Source organism: Homo sapiens, chromosome 12 (genome assembly GCF_000001405.40).
Source record: "Homo sapiens chromosome 12, GRCh38.p14 Primary Assembly".
Lineage (NCBI taxonomy): Eukaryota > Metazoa > Chordata > Mammalia > Primates > Hominidae > Homo > Homo sapiens.
This window is the reverse complement of record NC_000012.12, coordinates 104821903-104846232: the sequence shown is the minus strand read 5'-3', so window position 1 is coordinate 104846232 and position 24330 is coordinate 104821903. Positions and strand designations below refer to the sequence as shown.

The 24330-nt window shown below is 37.5% G+C and overlaps 1 protein-coding gene across 18 annotated transcripts in view, besides 1 other annotated feature; it reads left to right on the top strand.

The window, feature by feature from the left end:
- The window catches only part of SLC41A2 (solute carrier family 41 member 2), a 156946-nt gene that overhangs the window by 112514 nt on the left and 20102 nt on the right, over nucleotides 1-24330 (top strand). For 14 of the 18 annotated variants that reach the window (NM_001387125.1, NM_001352169.2, XM_047429648.1 and 11 more), the window contains 2 exons: nucleotides 259-390; nucleotides 1613-1761. In NM_001387125.1, coding sequence (NP_001374054.1) covers nucleotides 259-390; nucleotides 1613-1761 — 281 coding nt within the window. Of the gene's footprint in view, nucleotides 1-258; nucleotides 391-1612; nucleotides 1762-12051; nucleotides 12143-24330 lie in introns of those variants that run through there. The other 4 variants (NM_001387128.1, NM_001387129.1, NM_001387130.1 and 1 more) reach the window with 1 other exon arrangement.
- Nucleotides 21548-21842: a silencer, noted in NCBI's record as "tiled region #12146; K562 Repressive DNase matched - State 5:Enh". NCBI's record gives its function as "represses a minimal TATA promoter and a strong SV40 promoter by Sharpr-MPRA in K562 cells {active_cell/tissue: K562}" and the evidence as "EXISTENCE:reporter gene assay evidence [ECO:0000049][PMID:27701403]".

Genomic DNA, 24330 nt, shown 5'->3' with positions numbered 1-24330 from the left:
AATGACTTTTAAAAATTACCTGCTCTGGTCTGCTTGCATACCAGTCAAGTTTGAAAAAATAATGAATTAATCTTATCTAACAATGATTTTATGCCTTTGGAATGTCTACTTCAACATTAAATAGATCAACATTTCAGAAGAACTCTTTATTTTGTTTTATTGGCCCAGAATGTTACACGAAGAGGCTTGCTTTTGGTTGAATTTATGCAAATTGTTTAAAATATGAGGATTGCTACTTTGTTTTTCCTTGTGTTTCAGGTATTGGTGGTAATTTGGTGGCCATTCAGGCTAGCAGGATTTCTACCTACCTCCATTTACATAGCATTCCAGGAGAATTGCCTGATGAACCCAAAGGTTGTTACTACCCATTTAGAACTTTCTTTGGTCCAGGTATGTGCTTATGGATTTTTGCATATTTTAGATCAAGGGCTATTGCTCTCTAAGATTATAGGCAGGCAACATTTATTGAATATGTGTTTTGTGAAAGTTGCTCAACTTTCCGATTTCTGAGAGCTAATCCCAGTGAATGAAAAGGCATGTGTATCAAGTCTGCAGTTGCTGAGGATCTTTGTATAATGTTTCTCTTTGATGCCTCTTTCTGGGGTATCTTGCTTATTAGTTGTGAAAGAGAAACCTTATTTTGTGAAAGACAAAAAAAATAATTGCCAGGTGATTTCGGGAGGCAGATGTACTATCTTATCTATATTATTATTTTGGCCTTTCTAAATGTAGGCATTTGATCTCAAACAAACCAGTTGAGAAGGGATAAACTCGATTTCAAGGAACAGTGCATTATTTATGTGGCTATGAAAAAACAAAGGCACATGATTACCAAAAAACTAAGACCACAATTTTAAACTTCACAATTCTTGTCATTTTTTTTCCCTGATGAAAATAAGTATGATTATTGACTTTTGTTTTAGAAAATTTTTTGTTGTTGTTGAGACAGGGCTTTGCTCTGTTGCACAGGCTGGAGAATAGTGGTACCATCACAGCTCACTGCACCTCAAACTCCTGGGCTCAGGTGATCCTCCCACATCAGCCTTCTGAGTAGCTGGGACTACAGGCACGAGCCACTTTGCTTGGCTAATTTTTTTTTATCTTTATTTTTTGTAGAGATGAGGTCTCACTGTGTTGCCCAGGCTGGTCTTGAACTCCTGGCCTCAAGCAGTCCTCCCACCTTGGCCTCCTAAAGCTCTGGGATTACAGGTGTGAGCCACTGTGCGTGGCCATTATTGACCTTTGAATGAAGATCAGAATGGCTACCCTTTTAATACCAGTGATAGAATTCTAAAGAAATTAATAAAATTAAAACATTCTTGTACTGTAAGAACTTTATATTTTCTCTGTTTTTATGATAGATATTAAAGTGTGACCGATGTTCTTCATAGCAAGTTTTTATCAACCACCTTTCATTTAATTAACATATATAGTGGAAATTTCAGAGAATGAAATGAATTGTAACTACTTGAAATTTATTTTTGGCAATCAAATTTCATGTGATAGTATGAAGTATAGTAACTAGAAAGTAATCCTCAAATTTTAATAACTATGACCTATTATTAACCAAAATATAATTTTGTTTTAATTACTTTTACATTTTATATTACAGGAGTAAATAATAAGTCTGCTCAAGTTCTACTGCTTTTAGTGATTCCTGGACATTTAATTTTCCTCTACACTATTCATTTGATGAAAAGTGGTCATACTTCTTTAACTATAATCTTCATAGTAGTGTATTTATTTGGCGCTGTGTTACAGGTAAGAGTTAAAACTTCTTGAAATCTCTTTTATGCTGAGACTGCTGTAAAAGTACAACTGTGGAAATATAAAAACACATGACACATTTTACCATTTCAAAAATCAACTGAACATCTTCATATTGATTTGATCTTCTTAAAACCAATAAACAATTTTGTGTTAGTCATCAATATTTATATTATTAGGTTCATGTAAACATTGTTTATTATAGAGTCAGATAATTTCACTATGGCTATATTTACTTTTCTTATATTTTCTTTCCCATGGAGCTAATAATCATATCTCTTTGCATTTGCATCATTTTCCATAAACCCATCTTTAATTTTTACCAATGGTTCTAGTTTTATTTTGGCTTCCTGGGCATGGCTTCTTGCTAAACTTTGTAGATTTGGTACCTTCTTCAGTGCGATAAGTCCTAATCCCTTAAGAGATGGATTCAAATAGTTCTTTGAAGAGATAACATTTATCATTTGGCTTTCAAGGAGTTTGGCGTGTAGGAAGGAGGCTAGAAGGTAGGTATGTAGACATTATTACACTCAAAAGAAACTACATTGATGATAATGATGGTAATGAAATTAGTTGGCATGTATAGTGTTTCCTATATGCTCAGAAGCATTATAAGTGCTTTATATGTATTGATTCATTTAATTCTCACAAAATGCTATGATATTTGTTCTTTTGATATAAATCAGCGATTTTCAAAGTGGGATACATACAAAGCAATGCATCGTGTGGAGGAAGAAAAGATTAAAACTTCATTTGTTTAAAATATCTGTTTTCTTCTATTTTTGTGTTTGCTTAGTAATAAATATATTTTAGCACAATGTTAAATAAGTATACCAAATATTTTATACTGAGAGAGCTGCATAATCTAAAGCTTTTTGGAGATTACTGAGTTAAAACATAGAGGTGAGAAAGCACAGGGCTTGTGCAAGATAAAATAATTCATATATAGGATCTAACAGACAAGATAAGGTTAAGAAGGTTGATTAGGGCTGGTATAGAAAAGGCCTTAAATGCAAGGGAAATTAGAATCTATCCTTAAAATAACAAAACCCTTACAACTTGACATTTTTAACTTGTCTATTATGCTTTATAGTGCCTTAGATTTTACTAAAAGTCACCTATCGAATAATTAATTAATTTATTCATCCAGTAAACCTTCATGCTACTAGATGGAGGGATGGCTTTTAAATCCCAGGAGGAATAAGTTCAGACTCTGTGCTCAAGGTCTCGTAGTCTAGAGGGAAGGCCACTATACGAAAAAATAATTATAATGTACTATAATGTAAGTACTGAGTTTAGCTATATATGAAGTGCTTTCAGAGTTTGAAAGGAAAAGGAAGTACCTCTACCTGGGGAGTAATATTTTTCTATAGTTCAGTAGGGACAAAACTTATAGCAAATTGCTACTTTTATTGCTGTATATTATATGGTCATTTATTGTCATATATGTTTGATGCTGTTCTCTGTGTAACTATTGTGAAAAAGATGCATTCTTCAATCCCAGGGGAAATATTCAGAGACTAGTGTTTGGTTTGCTGATAAACAAGCCATTGCTGGAGCATATTCCTATTTGCAACTCTACCTCTTAGCCTCATGGATTATTTGACATTTATGTTTATGGTTCTGTGCCATTATACTATCATGCAGCATTTCACTTAAGTCAATGAAGGATATAAGTAATTTTTCTAGTTTATTAAAAATAGATTTCAACATATATCCACTGTGTACCTACATGCCTTTTAAACCTCTGATCTAAAGTCTCACCAGTGAAAGCTGAATAACTAGAATGGAGAAAAGAGTAATTATTAGTCTCTCTGTGTCTCAGTTACCCCCTCTGTAAAATGGGAGAGGTTGTACTATCTACCAGACAGGCTGCTTTGAGGATTAAATGAATTATTTATATAAAGTGTGTTTATAGCAGATGCTATATAAGTGTTAGCTGACGCTATTGTTGTTGTTATTAAAGATAGTATTATAAATGGTGTGTCATTGATTTCAGAAGGACAGCTGGAAACTATACTGTTGATTGAATTTTCTTATGTGTCTTTTATAACTTTAATTTTTATGGGCTTTGCTTTTCATTTTTCCCCCAAGAATCAGATATCTGCCAGAGTAGACCTTTGCATTTGCAGCCTGACATTGTGCATTATTCTAATGGAATAGCTTAGGATAGGTTGTAAATTCTTAGATCAAATCTTCATGTTCTGACACTAGCATACACATAAGCACATGCACACACACACCTCTTTAAGGTTTAGGTAAAAGATCTTGACCTTCCCCACCTGGCTTCAGTCAATCCAAAGATGAACAGAATGAAGAAATAACTCCTTAAAGACAAAGAATCTTTCACCACTTAAAACTTACCTTTTAATATTCTTTACTAGATTGTCTTCCTTTTTTGATCTAGGTTAAATTTATATTCAAAACCTTGGTCCAAGCTCTTATTCAAATATTTTAGTTCATACCACTCTTCTCATCCCTAAACTCTCTAATTTGATTGGATATTCTATAGTGCAGTTTTCCAATGCATGCTGAATTTCTCCCCATCTACATTCCTACCTTCTTGAGGGTTGAGACCATGCCTTTCCCTTTGGTATTCCCCACAGGACATGATATAGTGGCTGGTTTTATAAATTATTGTTGTTTTACACACTTCACAGACTAATACTCTTTGAGGAGCTTCCCTGCTAATTCCCCAACCCACTAAATGAAGGAAATCTATTTGAAGGAACCTTCATATTGCACTTATTATAATGACATAGTAACAATCATTTGCAGCACTTTTGCATTTACTCAGATGTCATCTCTTCCTGGAAGCCTTTCTTGAATATCTGATTTCCTCTGAATTGCCTTATTCTCTATTTCCCAAAGTACCCTGTGAATACCATTATCTTAGCATTTTCCATATTATATCGACATTATCTATAATATTTATTGTGTCTGTCTCATCCATTCTAGAAATAGGATCTTTGTTTACTCATTTTTTGTATCTCCAGCACCCAGCCCTGTCCCTAGTGCTCAATTAATGCTTGTTAAAACTGAATGACTGTATCTTGCCAGCTCCATCTCCTTCAGTGGAAGGAGGAGAAAATTTTATAACTGTATTTAGGTACAAGAAATCACAGAAGAACTAAAAAAAAAAACCTAGATTTTTTATTCTCCTTGTCTTCAATAAACACCAGTTTCCTCACTGACATAGGTATCCAAAATAAAAACAATTAAAAATGAAACACAGAACCCCACAACTTCTAACAGTGATCAGTTAAAATTGTAAGGTTTTACTGAAATGTTTAGAGATGAAATAACTTGATTTCTGGGGAAGTGGAAGTGGAGGGGTAAAACTGGTCATGAGTTGATAATAGATGAAACTGAGTGATGGTTCCTGAGAGTGAGTGGGGTTAATTTATACTATTCTACTTTTGTATATGTTTGAAGTTTTCCTTAATAAGGAGTTTTTAAAATAAAACTTTCAGATTTTAGATGTTAGTATAAGATTTTTTTTTCAGAGTATATCATCTCTCAATTTTGGTCTTGTAGCTGAATGGGTATTTCTTACTTCAAATGAAAAGTAAAAAGCCAACTTAAATTTGAAATTCTTTGGCATTGGAATGGCTGAGTTAGTTTCTTATTTTGCCCTTAGCCATTTTTTGAAATTATTTTTTAAATTTAAGAAAAACTACTTACATGTGACAAATTACATTGTTTGGTGGTATTTGTTATGTGTCTTGCAATTAGAAGGAAGCTATCAAATGTGGTTTTGTTATGTGATGTTTAGGCCACTGGACCACAGTCAGAAGATGTGATGGATTATACTCTATTCATGTTCTTGCCCAGTCCCCAAGAGCAATCAGAGTAGCTAGACCATATCAAGACCAGAGTAATGTGCTAAGAGACATTCCTATTTGACATACCACCAATCACATTGCTTTTTGAGTTTATTTTTCTTCAACAGTAAGGATGAGTTGGTATCTAGCTAACCATCTTGATCCGTTATACCTTTTATACCATCAGTCAGCATTTATGAGACTACCAGGTGTGCTTAAGGCACAATTGTTTGTTTTAGAATATAATTTTTTTATTTATGTTAAACTAGCACATTGAACCCACAGCTTTGATTTCATAGAAGCAGAGTATACTTTCCTCCACAAACTTAGACATGTTTCTTGGGTTCTTTCTCTCTAAGCAGTGATTCTCCCAGCCTTCACATCTACTTACTCGGATGCTCCATTGACTGCTCAAAGCCTGTTAACTTATGAACTCAAAAGCATAATATGGGATTCCAAGTTTGGATGGGCATTGCTGGCCTTCCTTTTAAGATGTAACGAAGGGAATCTTACTGTCATCTTCAGGGTTTTCTGTTTGTTTGCCTTACGCCCTACGGTATTCTTCAAAGGCTAGTCCCTTGACAGCATAATAAACCTGAGAAGGTACAAAGAAAACTATCAGTTAAATAAGCATACTGACAATCTATTGAGCAAAGAAGGAACAGCAGTACATCTTTGTTTCCCTATTTAATTTAAGGCTTCTACTAGTTGTTCCCCTTTGTATTAGAAATCCTAAATATATATCCTCTATGAAAAAACAAAAACATAAACATGTCATCTGTTGGATGACACATCCTATAAGAGGCAAAAAGATTGCCCCTAGAAAAACTGAAAGCAGAGGCCGGGCGCAGTGGCTTACGCCTGTAACCCCAGCACTTTGGGAGGCTGAGGCGGGTGGATCACGAGGTCAGGAGTTCGAGACCAGCCTGACCAACATGGTGAAACACCATCTCTACTAAAAATACAAAAAATTAGCAGGGCGTGGTGGTGCACGCCTGTAATCCCAGCTACTCAGGAGGCTGAGGCAGGAGAATCTCTTGAACCTGGGAGGCAGAGCTTGCAGTGAGCCAAGATCACACCACTGCACTCCAGCCTGGGTGACAGAGCGAGACTCCATCTCAAAAAAAAAAGAAAAAAAAAAGAAAAACTGAAAGAGGAGAAAAAAAGACTATAATTAGATGGGTGATCACAAATGTAAATAAGTCTATTACTATTCAAATCTCATTATTCTTATCCACTATTTTACTCATTTGATTAAAAACAACAATAACCCCTTTTGTTTTACTGTTAACGGTTTTCTGTTTTATTATGATGATTATGTATATATGGAGTATATAAATATTTTTTCTGCTATAAAGTATCCCAGTGGAAAAAGAAAAATGAGACTTCTCTAGCCTTTAAATTCAATAGCCCTATTCTATTGAATTCCAACAAGGTATTTGTTAATATTATTAGTAACAATGAATTTAAACTATTTCTAAATGAAATGTTGAATTTTCTATTTTAGGCAATTATTGTTTCTTACAGAAAATTAGATTATTAAGAACTCTACTAAAATTCTAACAGCACCAAATTCCATGGGAAATTTATTTTGAAAGCTTAGTTGTAGAAAAACTTTGCCTTTGGCTATGTCTGTTTTCACATGGGAGAAACAAAATGTTTCCTTTAAAGGGTAGAATGGCAACAAATTCTCAATACATAAAGTTGAGAATTGTAAATATCAGGATTTTGTCAAGTATATAGTACATATAGTGTGCCAACTACTGTGGTAGTCACTGTACAAAAGAAATAAAAGGTATTGTCCCTGCCCTTAAGAATCTTCTCTTAGCTGTAGATTAGATTGAAATGCATGAAACAGCCAGAGAAGAACCCAAGACTTACTTCCTTATAACAATACAGTCTTTTTCCTCTGTAACTTCAGAATAAATTAAATTTTGTGCCTATGCCTAACTTTCACTCTTTGAAAGTGCTTTAATAGATTCTTTTTGGAGGAAGGAGATCAGACAATATAAGTTTTAACCACTGAGAAATTCAGTATCAACAAATATGAAACTGCTTTTAGCAAAATAGTAATGTTTATACTTTTTATTAATATAATTTTAAAAACAAAAGTCTAGTTAGTTTTTGCTATTACTTTCACTAGGCAATACTTGTTTTTGAATTTTATGCATACATGCAAATTGCACCATCTCATATTTTCCAACAGACTCATATTCTCAAGAAAAAAACTTGTTCTCAGCAAAGCCCAAGCCCAGATAAATGCCCCTCATGACAAAACTTATAACCAGTATATTAACTAATAAACTTCCTAATAAGTATTTCTGTTTTATAAATAACCAGAGCTCCTGGTTGTTGAACATGTGTTTGTAATGTGAATATACCTACGACACTAACAGTGCAGACTAAGAGCAAAAATGTTCCATTTCTCATCCAGTAGAACATGCTTGGAGCAGAAATACAGCCAGTGACCTCTACATACTTACCAAAAGGAGCATTGACAGTATCTTCATTCTGAAGTCATGTTCACATGATTCAGTGTTATTATCTTAACTACAAAGACATAAAAATAAATTTTTCCACAAAAGAAAAATGCAAGCCAGACTGTCTGTCATCCAGACATCACATACGAAGGGCAAAAGATAGGCCCCCAGTAAGCAGAGCATTGTAGAAATATCAGTCTTCAGAGTCACTCTTGAGTCTGAATTTCTTCTTTGCTACTTATTTTGTATCCATAGTCAGGTTTATTAACCTCTTGTAACCTTATTTTTCCCCTACATCAGAGGTTAGAAATGAGGGCTAAGAAAATATATATAAAGTACTTGCTAGAGTGCCTAGAACATAGTGAGTTTCCAATAATGGTAGTAGCTGCAGTTTATCATGCTTATTGTCACGGGCCTCATTTTTTTCTTTCCCTCAGTGTTAGAGCTGGTTATTCAATACCCTGAGCCCCTTTTCATCTCCTTACCACTCACCTTCCTTTTGGCCCCTGTTCTTTACTGCAGAACTCTTCTTATTTATTCTCTGATGACTGCCCTAAGCTTCACATACCACGCTTTCATTGCTTACTTCCAGACTGATATCTCCAGTCTGGACTCCTGTTCTACATCTCCAGTTAAATGTTGAAGAGACATCTCACACTCAACACATCCCAAAATAAATTCCTTATATCCCCCATAACCTTTCCCATTCCAGGGAGGTGTTGAGCAAGAACCCACAAGTAGGGACAATGAGAAAGGAAATAGGCCAGCCTTAGATATACAAGCAAGGATCCCCTGAATCCCTCAGCCTTTGACCCCAGAAAGTCCCTCTGGGATAAGAAGAGCTTTACTCCCATAGACTCTGTATTTCATGTGTACGGGTGCCCCAAATCCTGACCGTCATGGTCATCACCATTGTCTTAATACTGGTGAGTCCATGCAGTCTAATAGGAAGACTCCTGGACTAGGAATAAGTATTTATGGGTTCTAATTCTAGCCCCTTCTTAACTTTATGACTTTTGCTAAGTCACAACACTCTCTGTGACTTAATTTCCTCTGTGATTTAATTAACAGGGGGAGCTGTTAATAATTAAGGTGGCAAGCATAAACCATTACTAAGCTAGGCAAACTAGGAAGTATAGTGACCCTAGCTATCACTCAGATCCCATCCAGCATTCATGATGTATGATTTTACGAGTTGCCATTCCTACAGTACAGATGATGTGTTACAAAACCATTGTCGTACATAACTAGTAAAATATATGTTAATACTAAAACAATCTGGCAATTAAAATAGTCTATTAATATTAAAATCATCTGTTGTTACTCCTAGAGTAATATTAAGTTAAACTGGCTTGTATGGATTAGCCAGAAAACCCAGGCAATACAGAAAACCTTGTTTTCCTGAAAACAATTGTATTCCAAGTCTAAATAGCTAATTTTAAATTCATCTATTAGACACTATCAATTTTTAAATTTGTTTGACCTAAAACAATCTCCTTCAGGTTTCCAGATGGACTCCTTGGTTCTACTGTCTCTGTACTTTACCTAGAAAGTGTATATTCACCTATCTCTGCCATCATTTGATTTATTATTTTATAGTGTTCAGTTATATCTTCTCTTGATCTGTAACTTTTCAGAGGAAAATGGTACTGCTTCATTTATATATAAGCCATTTTATATGCTTCACCTAAATTGTTTCTTCTGAAAGTTTTTGATCTCTAACAGTTCCCCTCTTGGAACTGGAGCCACTTTTCCAATCTACATATGAGTTTCAAAAATAATAATGGCAAATATTTGTATAGTATTTATCATGAGCCATACAATGTTCTAGGCACTTTATGTATATGAACTGATTGAGTCCTCACAACAGCCCAGTAAGGAAGGTTCTGTTATCATTTCCTATTCACAGATGAGGCAGTTGGCATAGAAGTTAAGTGATTTGTCCAAGTCCACACAGCAAGATGGAGACTGGCTCCAGTCTACATTCCTAACCACTGTGTTTTATAAGAATAAGTTTGGGGCTGGGTGTGGGACTCACACCTCTAATCCCAGCATTTTGGGAGGCCAAGGCGGATGGATCACCTGAACTCAGGAGTTTGAGACCAGCCTGGCCAACATGGTGAAACCCCATCTCTACTAAAAATACAAAATTAGCTGGGCATGGTGGCTTGTGCCTGTAATCTCAGCTACTGTGGAGGCTGAAGCAGGAGAATCACTTAGAACCCAGGAGGCGGAGGTTGCAGTGAGCTGAGATCATGCCACTGCACTCCAGCCTGGGCAACAGAGCAAGACTCTGTCTCAAAAAAAAAATGATGCTTTGTTTTGCTCTTAGTGAGGATCATAGTTTTTAGGATGGCAACTTCTAAAGATTTACAGCTGCCTCTTCTCTGTGGTTTCATTAGATCTTCAACTTCTTCCAGCCAGGCATATTGCCCCAGAAGGATATTCATTCCACAGGATCCATACCGAATCAATGCCTACTGAAGTCAAGTAGGAATCCATTCCAAGCACATAAATATCTCCTGAATGTTCTGAGAGAAGGACAAACTGCTATGGAAGTTCAATAGTGGGAGAGGTTTTTCTATGTGGGGAGGAAGTTTTATAGTGGATAACAATTTGCTTTGTTGGAATCCATAGAAAATGCCGTTTCAGCTAAAAGGAGTAGCATTAGGCAAATGAGAAAAACTCAGGGTATTTATGGAAAACAGCCAGAAATTTCCTGGAGTTAAAAGGAGTGATGAAAAATAAGGTTAGAAATTATAGGTTGTAGCAAGATCATCAAGGAGCTTAAAGAACAGATGATAAAGAGTTTAGTTTATTCTATAGAGTGGTGATTTTCAACTATTTTCCACTCCCAACAAACTTGAGAGATCTGACACATTCCTCTGATGCAGTGTGAGATAATTTATAGGGCTTGGGCTCTGGCTTCCACCATCAAATACCTGCATCAGCTAGGCAGTCACTGCTCAGGCACTGTTTCCCACCTGTATAAAGGGGCTAAGACTAGACCAACCTTGTGGGTTGTTATAAGGATGAAATGATGCATTTAAGGTGCTATTATTTTCATCATTATTGTCTTATTTTTTAATATCAACATCATCATCATCAATAGCTATGGATTACTGGGACAGTGACTCTCTTAGGGTGGCAGTGGAGCAATCAGAACCTATGAAACCAGCATTAAGAGTCTCTACCTTGATTCTGATACCTTACTCCATTCCTTGGAGTCACTTTTCTAGATAAGGAAGAATGTAGCCATATGGTAACAACATGACTATAATTGGAATCCCAGGATAACTACCCAGTAGCTGAGCAAGTTAATTAGCTTGGCCTCAGGCAAGTTACTTTATTCCTTGGAGTCTTATTTTCTTTGCATATAAAATGATAAGGCTTCCTTTTTGCACAGCAGTTATAATATTTAAATACTTGACACATAGTAGGCCCTCATTAAATGATGTAGTTATGTCTTTTTTTTTTTTTAAATCATGATGCTAACTCAAACCCTGTTCCCAGATGGCATCTCAAAGGAAAAACCTAAGCAACCAGGAGATTTAAACAGGTTACTTAATCTTCATATTTCTTCTCACTCCTCAGGATTTAATTCTACCAGATTCTAACTGAAAGTAGGAGCTCTTTATTTTGTCTATGTGACTGTTCTGCCTCTGTCTCTTAATTGGTTTCTCTGTCTGTCAGCTTGGGTTGAAGGAGAAGTATAAAGAGAATGATAAAGGAGATATGAAGGGAGGGCCTATAGTTCCTAGAATTTTTTTTCTAGCTGTAAAAACAGCTCCTTTAACTTTTGGAGTTGATCAATATGCTTACCTTAAGATAGGAAGTTAAAGCAGGTGAATTTTTGAGATTATTTTTTAACAGCCTCGTGATTGCATTTTTGTTATGTGTGATTATGCTATTATAGCTTAGGTTGTAAGGTCTCAAATTGAGACACCTTTCTAAATCCATATTTATGGTTAATTCTTTAGATAGGTATGCTTGGGCTCCAGGCCAGTGATGCACAGAAGATGAAATGACTGTCTGCTTTATTGGAGGCACAGCATGCTTGATTCCTGTGAGGTGAGGCATTGGGAAAGAGCTCTTTTCGGTCTTGTAAAGCCTGATAAAGGTGAAGGTAGAACCAGGGAAGCTCAACCATCTTTTCTCAAGTATTCTGCTTAGGACATTGCTTCCTGTGCTCTGAATCCTGCTGACATTGCAGATATGATTTAGAGGAATTTTCACATCATCTACAAAAAAAATCTTATAACTGAGTGAAACCACATAATTGAAAAGTGTAAAAATAATTACTCAGGAAATTTGCCAGAATAAAATCTAGGTTGATTTGTGACCCTAGAATATTCACCCCCCACAAAAAAAAAACAACAAAACACTGACCTGAATGATTCTATAATTGAAAATGTTTAGCTATTTTTAAGAATAGATATTAGCACAATACCACTTTTTAATTTGAAAGCTAAACATTTGTATTAGTTCAGTGTAACAAAGGTAATTAAATTATATTTTTGTACTATCTAGGGAAATGTATTAAAGCAAAAAGTTTCCAAAGATTTTTGCATTTATTAAAAGGGAAGCTTAAAGGGTATCAAAGGATGGTGAGACCGTCACTCAGTAACTGAAATAAAAAGACAAAGCTGAATTTTTACTTACTATTGTAATGGAGTTATACTGGGATCAGGCACAAGCAGAGCCAACTATTGATCTTCTGTAGGGTTTTAGAGAAGCATGGCTTCAGGAACTGGCAAATGTTCAAAAGCATATTTGGACTAATGTCATCTGTAGAAGTATGATTACTTGGGTATGACCATTGTTTGGTTGGCCCCTAGGGATACATTTAATGGAATTGATTAGTTCCTAATTGGCTACTTCAGGAACAAGGACTATCATTGATTGGCTAGCTTCTAAAGCATGTTCAATGAGGCAAGTTTATTGATTGAATGAATTTAAAACCAGTTGTGGTGGCTACTCGTTACTGTGGCTAAAGAACAATCAGTCTTTTCCAATGAGTGTAGAAACTTATTTATTCTTAGTTCTCACTTTTGCTCTTCACTCAGGAGAAATAATTAAGAATTATCCAGACATTCAACTCTGTTGTTGATTCTCCCTAAAGATGAGATTTCAGTGTAGAGAACTCTTTTCAGTTTAAGTGTCAATCAGCATGATTTCATATTCTTTTTATCTTTGAATCATTTGTTGAACCATCTGCTGGGACAATAGCTGTGCAAAAGCATTTGAGACCGGACAATAAGCATTAAGTGACTGTAAGACAAACAAGAATAACAAGAAATATTTTAAGAAGGGACAAGAAGGCACTTCAGTACCAAGACATAAGATTTTTGAGGCCTGACCAAGAAAACAAGTCTGTATGTTTCTCTAGGTAGCTTGACTGCCTTTTTTTTTTCTTTTTAGCTTAGATATAAGTTGCTTCATTTCATCTGTAATGTTAGTTCAGGTATAGCGTGAAGTGTTAGCAATGGTTTAGGTTGGCCAAGAGAAAATACAACACCATTGTATTATCTATAGCTATAACAGTTAACTATAACTATTTGAGTTAAGGAAATTAAATTGTTCCCCCAGGGCTTGGACTGTGTTATTTACTGTATCAGCCAAAGTGAGAGGTAAATCTTCATGGACAATTTTGAATTGTCAGTTCAAATTGTCCAATTGACTGTCCTGTTGATGGGGTTGATATTTTTAGGCATTTGTTCCACTAGTTATTGTTTTCCCAGAAAGGACTCTAATGAGACATAATCCATCCAAGGGTACTGGGGAGTCATATCCTTGAATTGGCTTAATAACTCTGCATAACAATTAATCTTTTCCTGGATTGGCATTAAAGAAACTAATTCCTACATAGGAAGAAAGAGCCAGGAATTGTACAAGAGAGATAATCCGTAAAGACAGGAATGGAAAGGAGAGTGTGACATAGAAAAAGTTTGTTCTAATGGTCATGGGTGGAATCTGTCTGCTTTGTGTAGTCAACTCTTTGTTCTGAGAATCTTGGGTTAATAGTCAATTCCCATGGATCATCTGCTTCTGAAGGTATGCTGAAGAACCTCAGTTTATGTTCTCTGATGAGTTGTTACTTTTTAGCTCTGCCAAAGTCTCTTTCATTTTTCCAGAGGATAGCAGAGGATGTGGCCAGTTCAGGCTCATGCAGGGATTCTGTTTTATTCATCACTGAAGTTTCAGCACCCAACCCTCTGCCTGGCACAGTAAATATTTATAAAATGAATATTGTTTTTTATTATTTGTGAATTATTTTAGGCATTTCAGTTATGTTTCTTCATTTCGATTCTGATATCCCATTGAAAGCAATAACTATGTCTTATTCTTTGAATGCTTCAGGAATCTCATCACACTGTTTTCTATGTTAGATATAAATAAGTATTCATTAAATTAGATATATTGAGTGTATTTTGTATGGGTAATAGGGAAGCACCTGACAAGGTTCTCTATCTGAAAGAGGTAACATATCAGTTGGAGAGATTAAACATACACCCATAAACAATTTGAAGGTATATTTTTTAAATGTAAAATTACATTCTCAACAAGTGTAATAAAATATTCTATGAACAACTACAGTGATATGTTGCTTAACAATGGGGATACAATATCTAAACTTAGAAACAGTGCAGTAAAAATATGGTATTATAATCTTACAGAACCACCATCATCTATGTGGTCCATTGTTAACAGAAATGTCATTATTTGGAGCATGACTGTGGGTATTTTAACATCATGGCCAGTTTAGAATGTTAAACTTTACGTTTGGCAGGTCATGGTGGCTCATGCCTGTAATCCCAACATTTTTGGAGACTGAGGTGGGAGAATCGCCTGAGGCTTGGAGTTTAAGACATTTTATTTTTAAGACATGGGGAGACCCAGTCTCTACAGAGAGAGAGAGAGAGAAAGAGATTTTAATTTTATGATCGAAAGTAAATAGGCTGAGTGTGGTGGCTCATGCCTGTAATCTCAGCATTTTAGGAGGCTGAGGCAGACAGATTGCTTGAGTTCAGGAGTTCAAGACCACCCTGGTCAACATAGTGATACCCCATCTCTTAAAAATGAAAATGAAAAGAAAAGAAAGTAAAGCTTCATAGTGAAGTACTATTATACTATATACATCAGGGATAATGAATGATCTACAACTCTATACAACAATATAGTAAATCTCATGAACATAAGGTTAATCAAAAGAAGCCAGACACAAACTACATATTGTATGATTATGTAAGTACAAAGATAGGCATAAAAGGTTTTTTAAAAGTAAATGAAGTTTGATAACTAACTTCTGCCAGCATAAGAACTAATATAATGTAGGAAATAGCTTGTGCCTTCTAATTTGAAAACTAATGGGTAGGTGATCAGGCTCATTTTTTCCCCCATTTGACAAGCCCTTGTTTTTAAATACTTTATTTAGAAGGAGAATATGAAGAAATATTAAGTGTTTGTTAACTGCTAGACAATATGTATTTTATTTACATTATCTCATTAATCCTTTCGGTGGTCCTCTGAGATGTATATCATCTCCCCTACTTTCCAAGTGAAAAATCTGAGAAAACTGAAAACTTAAAAAATTTGCCCAAAGTAATATACAGCCAGCCCTCCACATCCATGAGTTCCACATACGTGTATTCAACTAACCTTGGATCAAAAATATTCAGGAAAAAAATTCCACAGAGTTCCAAAAACCAAAACTTGAATTTGCTTCACACTACATTGAATCCTCATGAGTGAAGTGATGTGTTGGCATTATATTAGGTATTATATAAGTAATCTAAAGATGTTTTAAAGTATTCAGGAGGACATGTGTAGGTTATATGCAAATACTGTGCCATTTTATATAAGGGACTTCAGTATCCGCAGATTTTTATATCCATGGATTTTGCTATCTGCAGGAGGTCCTGAAATCAATCTCCATGGATATAGAGGGACAACTGTAGTAGTTAAGTGATAAATAAGATTTGAGCTTAGCCTTATATTACTCCAAAGCTTATGAACCAACTCCCCAGTCACAGGAGATAAGTAAAAGGATTGAGAACAATCTGGTTAATTCCATTATTTGGTAATGGGAAGTGACAGGAAGAATTCCTGTACTGTAGGGTAGAGGCCACAAACTTTTTCTGTAAAGGGCCAGACAGTAAATATTTTAGGCCTTTAGGCCATATAGTCTTTGTCGCAAGTACTCAACTCTGCCATAATAGTGCAAAAGTAGTCATAGATGATATGTAAACACATAAGCATGGCTATGTCCCAATAAAACTTTGTTTATGGATACTGAAATTTGAAATTTATATAATGTTCATATGCACAAAGTAATATTCTTCCTTTGATTTTTTAAATGTTGAAAACTAAAATTATTCCCATCTTGTGGGCCATATAGGGCTAGATTTGCCCTGCAGGCTATCATTAGGTGACCCTGGCTAAAGGCTGTTGCTTGGAGGGCTGCACACTTCTATTCAATATACAGAGATGAAATCTGCAATCTTCAAAGACAATTAAAAAGATCGACATTAAGGCATACTTGATATACAGTAAAGTATACCCATGTTGACATATGTGTACACCCATGTAATGACTACCATAATCAACATACAGAATATTACCTTCACCTCCAAAAGGTTTCCTCATGCTCCTTTGCAGTCAGTTCCCCTCCATGCCAGGCACTAGGCAACCACTGGTTTCTTCTCTGTCACTATAAATTATATTTCCCTCTTCTAGAATTTTATATATTGAATCTAAGTATGTCCTCTTTGTTTCCTCCTTTTACTCAACATAATATTTTGAAACTTATCCATATGGTTACATGTATTAGTAGTTTAATAATTTTTATTGCTGAGTAGTAGTCCATTGTATGAATAAATCACAACTGGTTTATCCATTCACCTGTGAATGAACATTTGGTTTGTTTCCAGTAGGGGCTGTTATGCATGAAGCTGCTATGAATATGCATGTACACATTTTTGTGCAGATATATTTTCATTTCTCTTGGGTAAATACCTATAGTAGAATTTCTGGGTCTTATGGAAGTAAATGTTTAACTTTATAAGAAACTGCCAAGATGTTTTCCAAAATGATTATACCATTCTGCATTCCCACTACTATGAGAGTTCTAGTTGCTCCACATCCTTGCTATCACCTAGTATTGTCAGGCTTTCTATTAATACCTTTAGCCATTGTAGTGGCTGTAAAGGTAGTATCATGGTGATCATAATTTGCATTTATCTGATGACTGATGATAGTGACTATATTTTTATGGGTTTATTAACCACTCATGTTTTCTTATGCCTATTTTTTTTTTAAATTGGGTTGACTTATGGAGTTATAAGAGTTCTTTGTATATTATGGATACTACTTTTTTGTTAGATATATGTATTGGAAATATTTTCTCACAGTCTATCAATTGTCTTTTTATTTTCATTTTTAAAAATATTGTGTATTTTTGAGGTTTACAATATGATGTTGAAACGGGAAACGTTCCTTGTCCCCCTCACAGGGCATGTGATGGGGGTATGGCTCGCTTCTTCCGTACACCACTGCTCAAACCTCTAGGGGAGCATACAGATGGGCAGGCTGTGGAGCTCCAAACCCACAGCAGTGTCTAGGGGTGATTGTTTACAGCTGAAGCACCAGTGGGCGTGTGTTACAGGGTGCTCTTTTAGTTTAGCTATCCGTAGATGGTTTATGTTAGCTCAGTTAGACTCCTGCCTTATTGCAAGGACAGACGGCTTTCTGTATACTGGGGTTCTTGCCTTGGTGTACCAGAAGAATCAGATTACCTGTGGGCTTAGAGAATGAGTGCAAGGTTTTATTGAGTGGAAGTAGCTCTCAGCAGATGGGGGAGCCAGAAGGGAGATGGTTTTCCACTGGAGCCGGCCACTCAGCAGCCTGGGCTCTCCTCCAAGTGCCCCAGCCAAACTCCACATCATTCTGCCAGTCGATGGCCTGCCAGCATGCCGGTGCCTGTCGGTGTGTTCCTCCTGACGTTCAGCCGCCCATCTGTTTCTCTGCTGATGTGCTCCTCTTGACGTCCAGTTGCTTGTGTGTCTGCTTGCTAGGGTCTCAGGGTTTTTATAGGCACAGGATGGGGCTTGGCAGGCAAGGGTGGTCTTGGGAAATGCAACATTTGGGCAGGAAAGCAAAAATGCCTGTCTTCACCTAGGTCCATGGGCACAGGCCTGGGGGTGGAGCCCTAGCCAGGGACTATGCCCTCCTCTACACAGCACTTCTTCTCCAATTCCGTCTTATTTAAAGGAACCATGCCCTTCCCAGCACTTCTGTATCATTATCCCCCTCTGAAGAGGTATATCTTACTGCCGTTAGAATATGGACGATGACCGGCCTTAGCTGTTTCCTGACGACAGGGGGCACTGTTTTGGGCAAAACAGCAGTCAGATTTCTCCCAGTCTATCTAAGTGTTCCTAGCAAAGGGGAGCCATCGTCCAAGGCTTCGGTTGCCTGACCGTTTGGAGTTTGATGGCTTCTAGGCATGAGAGAAAAAAAACAAGTTTTATAAGGTTAAGTATACATGGGTTATACGTGTGTTATACAAGGAAAGAATTTAGTGCCAAAGATTACAGAGATAAGTGAAATATACGAACAACAATATTGTACCTTGAATTGTATCACCCTGGTGAAAGAAATTAAACCTTATATGGGAGCGGATAAACTTTTAGAATGAGAGAAAACTGTTCTTGCCTTATCTTTAGCAGTTAACAGGTGCACTCTGGGAATTCTAGGGTTTGTAGGCTTGCCTGGGGGCCATTAAAGCTTCTTTCTCTTTCCTGCATTTCTCTCCCTTTGCTGGGCCTCCCTGTCTCTATTATAAAAGACCGAGGTGACTACTTTAAGGAGGTTCTCTAAAGTGCTATCTGGTCCCAGGACCTGTTTTTATAGCTTCCTCCTGATATCAGGGGCTGCCTGAATAATAAATTTATCCTTTGGGATTAGCTGTCCCTCAACTGAATCAAGAGATAAGAGAGGTGTGCTTTACGAAGGCCTCTCTTAGCCGCTCCAGGAAGGCAGTGGGATTCTCATCAAATCCCTGATCGATCATGGACAACTTAGTATAATTGCCGTCTCAGAGAAGGCTTGGTCTTAGTTCTACATATGCCCTCTATTATGCACACCTAAGGATGTCTCCTCTTCCAGTCTTCCACCTTGTCACTGGGATCCCATTTAGGGTCATACACTGGTACTGCTTCTCTTCCAATTGGATAATATTTACCCTCTTCCCTGACACTTTACATGATACAAAGCTCATCCCCAAATCTCTCTGCTACTTGCAGAACAGCCTGCTTCTCAGCGTCCATCAGGTTCTAATTCAAAAGTGACATAATGTCTCTCCAGGAGAGTTCAAATATTTGGGTGAAATTCTGGAAAGCCTCTATATATCTATCAGGGTCATCTGAAAACTTGCCAAGATCCCCCATTTGCTTTAAGTTCTGTAGGGAGAAGGGGACCTGGACCTTACTGGGCCCAAATTCACTGGGCATCTGTTGGAAAGGCAAGAGTGAGACTGGGGCTTGTTTAGAGTGATGATTTCTAGGAGGGGGTAAGGGAGAGGCTGAAGTTGGATAGAAAGGTTGGGGTGGACCCAGAGGAGCAGGGCTTGAGGGTGCTGGCTTCTCTGCTGGGGGTGCCTCTGGGACTCATGTCTTTAATTTCCTGGCCTTGCCACTTGCAGCCTTCCTGAGACAGCAAACACAGGGGCTAGGTCAATCCTACATTGTCGGCAAAGGTCGGGATTGCCTTGCAAGGTATAGAAAGCCTGCACGTATGGGACCTCAGACCATCTGTCCTCGCATCTACAGAAAAGTTCCAATTGCCATATGGTATTGAAATGAATGGTCCTTTCCTGAGGCCAAGCCAGTCCTTCCTGTAAATCATAATTTGGCCAAACCTTTGTGCAGAGAGCTATGAGGTGCTTTTCCTCCAGATTATGAGGGTCAAAGCAGTCCCAATGGTTCAGGATACACTCCAGAGGAGTATAAGCTGGCGGTGGTGAAGAGAACTGTTTGCCCATTCTGAAAGACAGGGAATAGAGGCTTCCCTCATTTCCCTTCCCTCTTTCAGCGAAAACTCAGGATGTGATGGAGAGAGAAAGCGAGCATCTTCCCTTCACTCTCTACCTCTTATCCCTGAGCCCTGGTGACCTTGGCAGGTGCTGGCCGTAGGTGCAATTGCAGTATGTACCCATGAAGCAGAGAAAACCTGGAGAATAGGAATTAAACGCTGTCACCTATGCCTCCCATTCTCCCTGTTGTTGGCAATCTTTGAGGTCCCAGGGACTGTTCATGCCATAAAGCATGGCCTCCTTCTGTGGGGTGGGTTTCAGTTGGCAGGAATTGGTCCTGCCCATTTACATTGTGCCTATTGCCTGGCTTTGAATCCCTCGCACCTGGTTTTTCTTTCTAGGGCTTCAGCCTGAAGCTTGGAATCGAGTTTGGGACTGAAAAGATATTTCAGAGGCTGTTTGTATCTGTTTAGAGTGTCTCAAATGAGCCCTGCTGAATTTGCAGTTCTCAGCCAGCAGGGGTCATTCCTCCCTTAACTTCCATATCAGAAACAGAGTTGGGAGGGGGAGCCCTCTCACATGGAAAAGGAAAAAACAGAAAAACAGTTTAAGGGGCAAAAAGGGGGAGATTCTGGGGGAAGAACCCCTTGCTTAGTGCAACTGGGTTCCTCTAATTCTTATATCTTTTTCCTGGTTCAGACTGGGTTGAATTCCTTGGCCAAAGGAGAAATGTTCCATTGACACAGCAGGCGAGAAGCGCCCTATCTGTTGACCCCGTGGGGTCCTGGCTACCACTGGTTTTCTCCTGCCCCCCTTGTGACTGTTGGGTTTGGCTTTTGCCTGCTGCAGGCATGCCCAGGTGCCTGAGCTGGGAGGGGTAAGAATAAGGAGAGGTGCCCTGAGCCACGCATGCCTGTGACTGTCGAGGTGGAGGCATACATGCACCTCTAGGAAAAAATTGGTCTGATTTGCACCTTTGGTGGCTGAGCCAAATGCTCATTTTACTTAGTAACATTGCCGCAGCCTGTAGCAAAACTCTTAATATTATAAAGAAAGAGATAAGAGCCATTTTAAACCATGTGAGAGAGAGAGAAAAAAGAGACAAAGTCTGGGGGTTTTGACTGGCCCAGTTAGGGCGGTTTAAAACTCTGTGAAGGGAAACAGAGCCTCTTACCCGCAGGAAAGAGAGAAAGGTGGTGGAGTTTCGGAAGAGAGGCAGACCCGACAGTTTCACATTCACTCACACCTTCCACAATCCTGGATGAGCCCCCAGTTGAAAAGGTAAAATTTCCCTTGTCCTCCTCTCAGGGCACGTGATGGGAGTGTAGTTTACTTCTTCAGTGCCCAGCTGCTCAAACCTCTAGGGGAGCATACAGACAGGCAGGCTGTGGGGCTCTGACCCCACAGCATTGTCTAGGGGTGAATGTTTGCAACTGAAGCCCCAGTGGGCATGTGTTACAGAGTGCTCTTTTAGTTTAGCCATCTGTAGGCAGCTTGTGCTAGCTCAATTAGACTCCTGCCTTATCGCAAGGACAGAGGGCTTTCTGTATCCTGGGTTCTTGTCTTGGTGTACTTGAAGAATCAGATTACACATGGGCTTAGAGAATGAGTGCAAGGTTTTATTGAGTGAAAGTAGCTCTCAGCAGATGGGGGAGCCAGAAGGGAGATGGTTTTCCCCTGGAGTCGGGCCGCTTGGAGGCCTGGGCTCTCCTCCAACTGCCCCAGCCAGACTCCACATCATTCTGCTGGTGGATGGCCTGCTTGCATGCTGGTGCCTGTTGGTGTGTTCCTCCTGATGTTCAGCCGCCCATATGTTCCTCCACTGATGTGCTCCTCTCGATGTCCAGCTGCCTGTGTGTCTGCCTGCTGGGGTCTCGGGGGGGTTTATAGGCACAAGATGGGGGCGTGGCAGGCCAGGGTGTTCTTGGGAAATGCAACATTTGGGCAGGGAAAAAAAAATGCCTGTCTTCACGTAGGTCCATGGGCACAGGCCCGGGGGTGGAGCCCTAGCCAAGGACCACACCCTCCTCCACACAGCACTTCCCTTCCCTTCAGCACTTCCCTTCACCTCTTCCGTATCATTTAAAGGGACCATGCCCCTCCTGGCACTTCCGTATCAATGTTATGAAATACATATAGATAGTAAAATGGTTACTATAGTGAAGTAGATTAAAATATCTGTCATCTCATGTAGTTATTTTTTTGTGTGTGACAAAAACAGCTAAAATCTACTTATTTAACAAAAATCCCTAATACAATATAATTTTATTAACTTTAGTCCTTATGCTGTATATTAGATCTTTAAATTTTGCCTTTTTATTTTCTTGACCATGTATTTTAAGAGCAGAAGTTCTAATTTGAATGAAGTTCAGTTTATCAGTTTTTGCAAATGATTAGTGCTTTTCATATCCTAAGAAATCTTTGCCTATCCCTCAGTTGTGAGGGCTTTCTGTTTTAGAGATTTTCTAGTTTTAGCTTTTATTTGAGTCTCTGACCATTTTGAATTAATTTTTGTGTATGGTATATGATAAGGCTTGAGGTTCATATTTTTCAGTATGAACATCCGGTTGTTACAGCACCATTTATTGGGAAGACTATCATTCTCCCTTGAATTATCTTAGCATCTTTGTCAAAAATCAATTTACTATATATATATATATGCAGGTCTATTTCTAGACTTTCTTCTGTTCCACTGATTTATATGTCTATTCTTAAGCAACTGTTGTTTTCTTTTGAGCCTTAACTTGTTGTTGATTTTAGTTTTAAAAAGAAATCATTTACCTTTTTTTAAAATTGCAAACTCTTCTGTAGGTAGCTCTCATACATATATTTTTATGTTGACAGGTATAGATATACTAAATAACCAAATGTAATGTAGATGCTTTTGCCACTGTGATTTCTGCCAAAATCAACATCCTTTTATTCTCTACTCTCAACATAGAGTTTTGGCATTTCAACAGCAGTAGTAATTATATCTACAAATCCTTATGTGATGCTCTATCTCAAACCTTCTGGAAGTCCAAGTTGATTATGTCTGGGTTTTCACACTTGTCACTTCTCATAGCTGCTTTTTCCAATATGTTAATTAATTAGGCATTTTTTCCTTTTGTTCTCTATGTTCTTTCTCTAAGCAATGACTTTAGACTCTCCCATGTCAAAACAAAATTCTTTTTATAGTTTTCAAATTTCTCAGTTATTTCTTTGCCCCTTTCTTTAATTCCCTCTCAATATAGTGAGTTTTCTTCTTATCACAGTTTTTGTTTTGTTTTCTTAACCTTTTTTATGTCAAAGGAGTTCAGAGCTATACTTCTGATTTTTTTTTACCTGCAATTAAAATTTTTTCAGGTAGTTTCACTTTCTAGAGATATCTATTACTCAATTCCTACAGATTTCAAAATTATCTTTCTAAATCTGTTTTCTGAGACCATATGTCCCCTACTTAAGAAATAGGTCTCTATACTGAGCTTAGTCAAGAGAGGGATGTTAGGTCATTGTCTCATGGGGCTATTTTTTGTTTTTGTTTTTCAGTTTATTGAGTTTTGTTTCTTCTCATAAAACAGCATATATTCCTTATTATCAAAATTGCTCACAATCCCCACACTCAAAGGCCATCATCACAAATAATTTTGGTGTGTATGCTATTTTTTAAAACTTTTTTAAAAATAATTTTTCAAATTTGAGTAGCGCTTTGGAAAGACACTCAATAAACAGTTTTAAGTAAGCGAATATGCCTTTTTCCAGTGAAATGTTTTGCTGGGCAACCTGCAGAAGGCCTATTTGAAGTGGGCATGGTAGTAGACTCAGGACCATTTTGGCTATGGGCAAAAAGGGAGCACATAAGTTGTACAGGGCCTAGCCTCTGCTGATTGCACCTTTCCTTAATATTCTATGGATATCAAGAGTATTGTACTAATTATACTTAGCATATAGTAGAAAATCAATGTGTTCATTTATTTTAGTTATTTATATATGCTTCATTCACACTTTTTTTTCTTTTTCCTTCTTCTTGTTAGAAACCAAGAAACAACTTTAGTTTGAATATTTCCTTGATTTTTAGGCTATCATTTCTTAATATCAAGTGACATTAGCTGTCTCTAGTTCTTTGCATTATTCCTTCAGAATGACATGGTCAGATAAGGGAGTGTCCATGGCAGGTGTAACTAGGCAATAGTTAATGAACACCCAGCCAAGAATGATGATATCTTTTAAAATTCTAAATTGTACATTA